At 46.7% G+C, this 10985-nt stretch overlaps 5 annotated features.

Annotated features, from left to right (window-relative positions):
* Positions 318-527: an enhancer, noted in NCBI's record as "active region_4036". NCBI's record gives its function as "activates an Ori minimal core promoter by ATAC-STARR-seq in GM12878 lymphoblastoid cells {active_cell/tissue: GM12878}" and the evidence as "EXISTENCE:reporter gene assay evidence [ECO:0000049][PMID:35858748]".
* Positions 1018-1107: an enhancer, noted in NCBI's record as "active region_4035". NCBI's record gives its function as "activates an Ori minimal core promoter by ATAC-STARR-seq in GM12878 lymphoblastoid cells {active_cell/tissue: GM12878}" and the evidence as "EXISTENCE:reporter gene assay evidence [ECO:0000049][PMID:35858748]".
* Positions 7086-7145: a silencer, noted in NCBI's record as "silent region_2819". NCBI's record gives its function as "represses an Ori minimal core promoter by ATAC-STARR-seq in GM12878 lymphoblastoid cells {active_cell/tissue: GM12878}" and the evidence as "EXISTENCE:reporter gene assay evidence [ECO:0000049][PMID:35858748]".
* Positions 7826-7955: an enhancer, noted in NCBI's record as "active region_4034". NCBI's record gives its function as "activates an Ori minimal core promoter by ATAC-STARR-seq in GM12878 lymphoblastoid cells {active_cell/tissue: GM12878}" and the evidence as "EXISTENCE:reporter gene assay evidence [ECO:0000049][PMID:35858748]".
* Positions 8973-9267: a silencer, noted in NCBI's record as "tiled region #14569; HepG2 Repressive non-DNase unmatched - State 8:EnhW". NCBI's record gives its function as "represses a minimal TATA promoter and a strong SV40 promoter by Sharpr-MPRA in HepG2 cells {active_cell/tissue: HepG2}" and the evidence as "EXISTENCE:reporter gene assay evidence [ECO:0000049][PMID:27701403]".

The following is a 10985-nucleotide window of genomic DNA, read 5'->3' as shown; positions in this document are numbered from 1 at the left end:
ATAAGGACATACTTATTTTTAGGATTTAGATTGTTTTATTTTATGTTATCTATGATGATTTGTGTGGGGCAAGAAATACTTGTAGCATAATCTTTAGAGGTTGAGTACTGCTAAAGATCTTAATCCAGCCATGATGGTCCCAGATTTTGCTCTGTGCATTTACCCAGAGGAAGTCTCCTCTTCCGGATGGCCCCCTAGTATCTAATGACTCCCTCGGCTCTAGGACTCAACATTAGCTACAGCTGTCAGCCTCCAGGAAGGCATTTCTGAGCAAATGAAAGAGAATTGGGGTTTCCCTCAAAGACATATAAACCCCTTGGCATTTCTTTCCACTTGGTGTTCTGACCCATGTGCTTGCAGACAACAACATCCAGTGAGTAGGTGCCTCTGAGGAGCCCACCGGGTCAGTGACTACCTCCCTTACTTCATGGCTGAGGTTTGGACGTCTGCCCACCTGTCCGGTCAGCCTTACATCACCAGTCTAGAGGAATGGAGATCGTCCTTTTGCCTACTTGTGCAGCCCCGGGACAAACGGGGTGTCCCACCAGGCTCCTGTTGCAAGGTAGTGAAATGGTGCAGAAACTGAGAGTTGATGCTTCTAAGTCTAGTAGAATCAGGGTATAGGAAGGGGTGACTAAGCCCCCCTAGCAGTCCAGGAGTCATAAACTTTGTGGCATTTACTAAATAGGGCATGGCAGAGTGAGGGCTCTGGAGAACAAGGGACCCTGAATGGAACAGGAAGTGGTCACTGTGATTCAACCACAGAGCCTTTCCCTGAGTGTCATCTGTTAAGCGTGACACAGCCTTGGGGGAAAGTCACTGTGCTGAGGTGGGGGTGTGTGTGTGGGTGGGGGGACATTCAAGTTATGGGTTGGAGCTGCCACAGAACTGGGCAGTGAAATCAGGAAGAAGAGTAGCCTCCTGCAACACTGGTGTCTCCAGGGAACTGGGGCCACCCCCGATCTCAGTCATGAAGAAAATGCTTCTCTGTAGAAAGGGACAGCCCCCAGGAGGCAGCATCTCTCTGCCTTCCTGCAGTCGGGAACCTTGCTTACTCGATCAACCATTTGGACAGGTTACCTTACTTCTCTGAGCCTCTGTTTTCTTAACAATATAATGAGAATACTAGTAGAATCCATGAATGGGGTCACTGCGAAAATCAAGTGAGATGTTACATGTACATGGCTTATAAGAGAGACTGGTATAAAGTAAGTGGCAATAAACAATGACTGTCATTTTATCTTATGTTTATTTATTTATTTATATATATTCTTTGAGATAGAGTTTCACTCTTTTCGCCTAGGCTGGGGTGCAATGGCGTGATCTCAGCTCACTGCAACCTTTGCCACCCAGGTTCAAGTGATTCTCCTGCCTCAGCCTCTGGAGTGGCTGGGATTAAAGGCGCCCGCCACCATGCCCGGCTAATTTTTTGTATTTTTAGTAGAGACGGGGTTTCACCATGTTGGCCAGGCTGGTCGCGAACTCCTGATCTCAGGTGATCCACCTGCCTCCCAAAGTGCTGGGATTACAGGCATGATCTACTGCGCCCAGAGACTGTCATTATTTTATATTTATAATCAGAGACTCTCAGAGGTGGAAACCTTAGGCGTAAGTCATCCATTTTAAAGAAAAGAAGCTGGGCACGGTGGCTCATGCCTGTGATCCCAGCACTTTGGGAGGCAGAGGTGGGTAGATCACCTGAGGTCAGGAGTTCGAGACCAGTCTGGCCAAAATGGTGAAACCCCGTCTCCACTAAAAATACAAAGATTAGCCAGGCGTGGTGGCAGGCGCCTGTAATCTCAGCTACTCAGGAGGCTGAGGCAGGAGAATTGATTGAACCTAGGAGCCGGAGGTTGCAGTGAGCCAAGATCATGCCATTGCACTCCAGCCTGGGCAACAAGAGCGAAACTCCATCTCAAAAAAAAGGAAGAAAGAAAAGAAAAGAAATCTGAGGTGTCAAGAGGGGCATGATGTCCCCAAGGTCTCACATAGCTAACCAGAGGCACAGCCGTACCTAGAACAAGGGTCTCCTGCTCAGCCCCTTTCTCTTTTTCTCTGCCCCCTCCCCTCCTCCTCCTTCTTCATCATCGACCTTCACTGGGTCCTTGTTATGTGCCAATCATTTTACGTTTGTGATATATCAATTAATTCTCACACCAGGTAGGCAAAATTGCTCCATTTTCCAGATGTCATGCCATTCATAATGCTTCCATTCATCTTGTCAACAGTATCCTTTTAAAACTCTGCCCTCAACTCTCCTCCACCTCCAGGAAGGCCTCCTGGATTAAACCTCCCCCCAGGACTTTAATCTCTCCCAAACATCACACCCTCTCAGCTGTCAGCCCACATCCTGATCTAGCAGATACTTCTACAACCATCAACAATTGCCACAGACATATGGGGAAGGGGACAGTGTCCTTTAAACATAAGGAAGGGTCTTTCAAACCATAACTCTTTCTAGAAAATTATAAAAAGTACTTTAATAATAAACAGAACATAATAACAGAAAGTTTTCTGAGTATTTATTTTCTGCCAGCCTCTCTTCTAAGTGATTTACATGGGATATCTTTAAATATGCATCCTATAATATTCTCAAGAAATGAAGAGAATTCCTTGGCAGCTTATGTCCTGCCGAGGGTTTCCCTGGCTTCCAGCAGTTCAACCAAGGCAGTAGCAGCTTGGGGCAGCTTTTACCTTTAGGAAGGGTCCAGTCACGGGTGAGACCTCCAGAGCACAAGGCTGGGGGCAAAGGACTACAGGTGGGCAAATGTCCCCAGTACATGGAGGGACCAACCAGCCAAACACATTCATTGTGAGTTTTTTTTTCTTTCCTATTATTATTATTATTATCATTTTTTAAGGTTCAGTAGTCTTTTATAACTTGATTTCTCCTTCCTTCCTTCCTTCCTTCCTTCCTTCCTTCCTTCCTTCCGTCTTTCTTTCTTTCTTTCTTTCTTTCTTTCTTTCTTTCTTTCTTTCTTTCTTTCTTTCTTTCTTTCTTTCTTTCTTTCTTTCTTTCTTTCTTCCTTTCTTTTTGAGACAGAGTCTTGCTGTGTCCTCCAGGCTGGAGTGCAGTGGCACGATCTCAGCTCACTATAACCTCCGCCTCCCAGGTTCAAGCGACTGTCATGCCTCAGCTTCCAGCGACTGTCATGCCTCAGCTTCCAGAGTAGCTGGGACTACAGAAGCGCGCCACCATGCCCGGCTACTTTTTGTATTTTTAGCAGAGACGGGGTTTCACCATGCTGGCCAGGCTGGTCTTGAACTCCTGACCTCATGTGATCCACCTATCTTGCCCTCCCAAAGTGCTGGGATTACAAGCGTGAGCCACCATGCTCAGCTTCTTTTATTACTTTCTATCATTGTGGTTTTAAATGTATTTCTGAATATATTTTATAATATATAGAAATATATTTCTAAATATATTTTAAATACCCTTCGGTTTGTGTTTGATTTCCCCAGTTTCAGTGTCAGCCGGAGTTAGCCATGTCTATGGTGTCAAGTCCAAAACCTTTATGGGACATTCTCAGCCTGGTGATCTCTCCACCGTCCCCATGTCCTCCCCTTAATCTCTGAGACCTGGTCACTCACCACTTCCTCCCTTGGCTCCCGCCCCTGTTTTTCCTACACCAACGAGTTTTGCTGCAATGAGCCCACACAGCTGGGACTCTGCACATTTCCCTCCCTGCTTCAAAGGCTTCCCCTCAGCCCCTGCTTGCTGCCTGAGGATAATCACAGAGGATTACATATACCCTATTCAAGTCTGTCTCCCCAGAGTAAACTGTGGCTCCTCAAAACAAGGACTGAGATTTACTCTTAATAAAACTTTATTTATAAAAACAGGCTGCAACTTGCCTTGTGCATGCAGATGTTAAAGTAAAATTTAAATTTAAAATTAAAAAAAAAAACTAGGCTGCAGGCCTGTGGGATATCATTTCCTAATTTGATTTTTTAAAATATTGCATTACAATATTATGTTATTTTGGGCCAGGCGCAGTGGTTCACCCCTGTAATCCCAGCACTTTGGGAGGCTAAGGTGGGTGAATTGCTTGAGCTCAGGAGTTTGAAAACAGCCTGGGCAACATGGCAAAACTCCATCTCTACAGAAAATACAAAAATTAGCTGGGCATGGTGGCATGTGCCTATAGTACCAGCTCCCTGGGAGATAGAGGCGGGAGGATCACTTAGGCCCAGAAGGTCGAGGCTGCAACGAGTTGTGATTGCGACACTGCACTCCAGCCTGGGTGACAAAGTGAGACCATGTCTCAAAAATAAAGTAAAATAAAATATCATGTGTTTTGAATACTGAGGTTTTTGGAACCCTCCCTCAAAGCAAGTGTGTCCCTATCCTCTCCCTACTGTTTTTGTTCTTAGAGCCCAGCATATGGAGGTATGTCAGCTCAGTTCCTGTAGTTGGATAAATGAGTGACTGTCCGGAAAGGACAGCAGACAGAATTGGGAGATGTGAGGTCCAGGTTCTGCCATAATTATGTGATCCAGTCATATCCCTTACCTGTTGCAGGCCTCAGTTTTTTCATCTGTAAAACACACAGGCCTTATTAGATGATCTGGCAGGGCTCTCTCTGCAAATACTCAACCAACATTCATAGATAAAGTTATGGATCATACATAGAAAGATGGACACGACTTCATTCCTTACCCTGGAGGTACTCACAACTGAGTGGATGTAATAAATCTCTGAGCCTTGGGTTTTTACCCCTGTAAAACAGGGTGCTATTTGCTTAGGGCTGTTGTGAAGCTTATGAGAGACAGTAAGTGTTCTCTCTCGTATTACTAAAAGTCTTCTCAAAACCTGAGCCAAAGGGCCAGGCATGGTTGCTCATGCCTGTTAATCCCAGCATTTTGGGAGGCTGAACTGGGAGGATTGCTTGAGACCAGGAGTTCGAGAACAGCCTGGGCAACATAGTCTCTACAAAATATTTTCTAAAAGAAAGAAAAAATAAGAACTTTAGCCAAAGACTTGTTTCATACTTTAAAAAAACTAGTTGACCAAAATACGAACACCACACTGTTAATGCTGGGCTGTGGGAAGCAGCTGAGTGCCATGATTTCAACTGTACGTGGGCACTTACTGTGTGTCCTTGGGCAAGTTACTTAACCTCTCTGAGCCTTCATTTCCTGCTCTGTTGAATGGGAAAGACAGCTAACAGTACCCCCAGCTCACAGCATTGTTTCAAAGGCCACTGGAGATTGCAGTACAAGTGCCTTAAAAACAGAATACAGCTGTACTTGAGAGGCCATAGGAGGGCTCCTGCCACCTTGAGGTTTTATATGCTCTCTTCCCCTCTTTCTGTCACAGGATTGATCCTTTCCTGTGGAAGCTGAGGCAAGTTTTTACTTGGCATCAAAACCTTAAAGTAAAGGATGTGTGGAGGAATTTCTTTTTTTTTTTTTTTTTTTTGAAACAGAGTCTCGCTCTGTCGCCCAGGCTGGAGTGCAGTGGCGCGATCTCAGCTCACTGCAAGCTCCGCCTCCCGGGTTCATGCCATTCTCCTGCCTCAGCCTCCTGAGTAGCTGGGACTACAGGCTCCCGCCACCATGCCCGGCTAATTTTTTGTATTTTTAGTAGAGACGGGGTTTCACCATGTTAGCCAGGATGGTCTCGATCTCCTGACCTCGTGATCCGCCTGCCTCGGCCCCCCAAAGTGCTTGGATTACAGGCTTGAGCCACCGCGTCCGGCCTGTGGAGGAATTTCAGGTGAGTCACAGGAGAACCTGGGGGTCAGAGAGTCTTTTGGAGTCATTGAAATCACACAGTGTTAGGGACAGTGCTTTCTAAAGCTCCAGCTGTTCTCTTTGTTTGGCTATTTCTTTCCTTCTTTTTCTTTTTTTAAAATTGAGACAGGGTCTTGCTCTGTCGCCCAGGCTGGATTGCAGGAGTGCAATCACGGCTCACTGCAGCCTTGACCTCCTAAGGCTAAAGCAATCCTCCCAACCCAGCCTCTCCAGTAGCAGGGACTACAGGCTTGCACTGCCACACCCGGCTAATTTTTAAAGTTTGTTTCTTTTTTTGTTTGTTTGTTTGTTTTAATAGAGACAGGGTCTCATATGTTGCTCAGGCTGGTCTCGAACTCCTGGGATCAAGCAATCCTCCTGCCTGGTCCTGCCAAAGTGCTGAGATTACAGGTGTGAGCCACCTTGCCCAGCCTGGTTATTTCTTATAGAAACTTGGGGTAGAGCAATTCACTTCTCCTTGGACCTCCATGAAAGGAGACTCTGCACTGGCCCCTGCGTCTTTCCTGGCCTTGCACCTTTCAATTTCTAATGGTGCTTTGGAAGGGCCGGGAGGGGTGAGTGGAAGGGGAAAGGACGATTTCATTTCCCTGTGACCCCCTCAGATGTCCTTTCTGCCCTGGTCACTTCACTCCCGCATCCGTAGCCAGAGCAGAGCCAGGCCGCCCAGCCTGAGATCCTGGGCAGGTCCAGGGTGGATTCAGGACCACGTTGGTTGTCCTGAGCCAGGAGATCCCGGAGCAAGGGTGAGCGCTCCGCCCTCCTGGAGCATCCTCTGCGCGCCCCGCCCCGCTCCTCCCTCGGAGCCCGCCCTGGCTGGGCCCGGGCGCCCATTTCACAATCGCTGCAGTTGGGAATGTGGCCGGGTCAGTTCCCACGGGGCTCCCTACTCAGGGTGGGACCTCCTACTTGGTGGGGCGATCGGAATCGCATCGTCAAAATACTAATTATTGTTGCATCCAAAGCCCCACCAGCGGCGGGTGCCCGGCCCTGCCCAGGAAATCCAAATAATCAGCATCACTGGGATTTTAGTCACCTCGGTGGGGAGCCGGGTCACCTGATACCCCAGCCGCTGGGAGCCAGCGTCAGGCGCGAGCCACTTCCTGGAACCCAGCCTGGGACCTGAAGAGGCAGGGAGGCTGGTCGGGGGTGGGGCGGGGCTGGGGGGGTGGGAGTAAGGGAGAGGACGAGACTATAGAACCGTCGAGGAAGAAAGAAGAAAAGCTCACTATCTAGGCTCATGTATCCCTCTCTCTTTAATCCTGGAAGATAGACATGACTCTTCACTTTACAGAAGAGGTTGAGAAATGTAAGAAAATTGCCTCAAGTCCTAAGCTGGCAAGAGGCAGAGCTGGGGCACTTTCCACTACACTAATGGCAGGTAATTTCACAGGCAGGATAAACCACCCCAGCCTAATCAGTGGTTGAGCAAATTGGGAACGTGAGAAAGCTGTGGGCAGACGAGTGGTGTCAAGGCGTCACGGGACTATGGGACTCTCACGTTCACAGCAGCAGTGAGAATGCCCCCCTCAAAACACAATGAGGTGATAGGCATCCATGTGGGCCATGCCCCACCCCCCACCTGCATCGGAATTGTGAGCATTTTAGGAAATGGCTAATGGCTTCCTAAGGGCCCTTCAGAACAAAGTGCTTAACTGATGTCAGTTAAGCATTCATCAGTATTCAAAGAAGCATTCCAGAATCAGAAAACGTTTTTGAAAAAAACGCTCATAATTTATAAATGCATATGAACCCCGCCGCCCAACACACACCCGCCAAACAGTGGAAACAACACTATCCATTCCACAGGATATTTCGCAGCCGTTAAGAATAATTACAGGCTCACGCCTGTAATTCCAGCACTTTGGGAGGCCGAGGCAGGCGGATCTCTTGAGCTCAGGAGTTCAAGACCAGCCTGGCCAAAATGGTGAAACCCCATCTCTACAAAAAGTTAGCCGGACATGGTGGTGTGCATCTGTAGTCCCAGCTACTCAAGAGGCTGAGGTGGGAGGATCGCTTGAGCCTGGGAGGCAGAGGTTGCAGTGAGTCAAGATTGCATCACTATACTCCAGCCTAGGTGACAGAGGGAAATTCCCCCTCTCCCCCAAAAAAGAAATCCATATACCACAAGGTAGGGTACACAACTGTACACATACAGAATGATCACAGCTGTTTGAAAGGAAAAAAGGAAGAAAGAACAAAACAACCAACACCAGTACATAGAAAATAGATTGGCAGGAAATACCAAAATGCTGACAGTGGTTTTCTGTGGGTGTTAGGTGATTTCTTTTCTTCTTTCAACTTTTCTGCATTTTTCAACTTTTCTATGTATGACATCTATTACTTTTACAGTGAAAACTATCTGGATTTTATTTGAAAAGAGAGAAAGTGAATAACACTAGTAATAACAATATTAATAGTAGTAGTAGTAAATTAACATTTACTGAGAATTTATGGGGTGTTTGACACCATGCTAAGCACTTTATTTGCTTTTTAAAAAAACCCTCGTAGTAATCCTGTGAAATGGATATGATTATTGTCTGTGTTTTATAAAGGCTCTGAGAGATTAGGCCATGTCGTAGGCATTGAGTTTTTGGCTGTACAGGTTCTAAAGCCCCTCATCCAGGGGGCAGAACTCCCCTTGGGTATTGACTTGGAGGGAGGAGCACCTGCCTCATACCACTGAAGCCCAAAGGCAAATCCTCCCCGTCCTGTTTCCTGGCAATGGGTATGAGTGCATGACCAAGGCTCAGTCCATCAGATGCACCTGCCTGAGGCCTGGCTCCTGGACCCACTGCATGCTGGGGGGTTAGCACTCCATTTGCTGTGATATCTGGCTGCAGTGGCAGCAGCGTCATGACTAGACTCTTCCAGCTCAAATGATGGTTTTCTGCCTCCTGCTGCTCCAGGCCTGGAGAGCTGCTTAAGTTTCTGCCCCTTTCTCAAGACTGTTCCCTCCTGAACCTCTGCCAATTCTATTGCAGTGGATTCCCTTCTTTGTTTAAGATAGTCAGGGTCCATTTTCTATGGCTTGTTACCCAGGGTCCTGACAACTCTCGGTGACTTTCCAGCAGTCCCAGAGCAAATGGCAGGAGCAGGACCCCAATCCCGATCTGTCCATCCAGAGCCCGAAGCATTGACCCAAACCTCCCGTGCTGCCCACTCTTCCCCAAAAGTATGATAAACATTTCCTGAACTTCTGGAAAACAAACCAGAAACATGTTCTTGAAGATTTTCTCAGAAATTGGCGGCCCACTGCCCACCCTACTGTCGTGGGAGCCTGGAAAACCATCTTGTGAAAGGCAGGAAGCTGAGGCGAAACCTGGGTCAGGGAGGAACCAACCCAGGCTCCAGTGACTGGAGCATAGACTGGATCTGGGGAGGAGAGGACGCAGAGGCGTTTCAGGCCTCCCTGGCACTTCCTGACCGGTGCCAGAGGACTGACTCAGCCTAGGGTCTCCTCCCCCAGGAAGCCTCTCGACCTTTGGAGTCTGGGAGTGGAAACTCTGGTTGGACCCCCTTGTACCTTGCATGTTCCTCTAGGTGGTGAGAGCTTGTTTTCATGTCCACCCCCATGTGACTGTGAACTTCTAGAGGACAAGGACTGCAGCTTTTTCACCCAAATTCTTGATGCCAGGCATATAAATGTTATTAGAGTGAATGAGAGAAGGAATGCCGGAAGGGCTCTCCCCATCCCCATGCCAAGCAGTGTGCAACCATGAACCCTGGGACTTTTCCGAAGCATCTTGGCAAAATAGAACAGCCATGGGCTTTGGAGTTGATAAATCTTGCTTCAAACCCTGGCTCTCTTACATATGAGCAAATTCCTCCTTAACCTCTCTGAACCTCAGCTTTCTCATCTGAAGAATGGGGACAGTGCCTAACTCTAAAACCAAGCAATTGGGAAGATGTGAAAAGTGGTTGGCACACAGTAGGCCCTCAGTACAGGCTAGCCCCCTTCCTCCTCCAACACTTCATCTTGACTCAATTCCTTCTTCCTGCTCCTCTCCTGAGTAAATGTCCAGCAAGAGGGAAAAGGTTAAATAAACTATGGCATATCAATAAGATAAAATGTTATTTGGCCTATAAAAATAGTTCAACCAATAATTTTTAATGGCATAGAAAGTGCTCATATATTCATGTAAAGTGAAGAAAAGACCAAATTGTTCATACAGTATGACCTCAGCCATGTAAAATGAATAACATTTGCATGCTTGAACATGTAATAGACAATTTCTGGAAGATACACAAGAAACTCTTAACCATGGTTTCCCCCTGCATGGGAGTAGAAAGTTGGAGGTGGACTTTGACTTTTCACTTTATAACTTTTTGTTCTATTTGAGCATATATATATATATATATATATATATACACACACACATATATATATAATATATGTATATATAATATATATATACACATATATATGTATATATATGTATATATAATATATATATATACACACACATATATACATACATATATGTATAATTGTGGTTTTGTTGTGAGTATATATTAATATTTAAATGAAACTCAAAGGGCAGGGCACGGTGGCTCACGCCTCTAATCCCAGCACTTTGGGAGGCCAAGGCGAGTGGATCACGAGGTCAGGAGATAGAGACCATCTTGTCTAACACGGTGAAACCCCATCTCTATTAAAAATACAAAAAATTAGCCAGGTGTGGTGGCGGGCGCCTGTAGTCCCAGCTACTCCAGAGGCTGAGGCGAGAGAATGGCGTGAACCCGGGAGGCGGAGTTTGCAGTGAGCCAAGATCACGCCACTGCACTCCAGCCTGGGCGACAAAGCAAGACTCCGTCTCAAAAATAAATAAATAAATAAATAAATGAAACTCAGAGGACAGAAAAATAGAAAGGAAATATAACAAGACTTCAGCAGTGGTTATTTTGGGAGTAGTGGAATTATAGGATTATTCAAATGCTTGTTTGTATTTTTCTACATTCTCTAGGTTTCCTATGATGCACTTATAGTTCTTTTATAATCAGAATTAAGGGCAAAAATGACTTCAAGTGGCTCCCCAGGGGTGGGATTGGGGGAAGGAGCAAGTGACTATATCTAAAGGGCGAAGGGAGCATGAGATGGAACCGGGCAGAGGCAGATGTATTTTTGGAGCCATGTGGTTCCTCCTGAGTCAACTAACTTGTTGTCTGGTCCCAGCCTGCCAGTGGAGGCAGGAAATGCTCCCACTCCTGCCTGGTTCACTCTTAGTCAC

This window comes from Homo sapiens, chromosome 10 (assembly GCF_000001405.40).
Source record: "Homo sapiens chromosome 10, GRCh38.p14 Primary Assembly".
NCBI lineage: Eukaryota > Metazoa > Chordata > Mammalia > Primates > Hominidae > Homo > Homo sapiens.
This window is presented reverse-complemented; position numbering and strand designations above follow the sequence as displayed.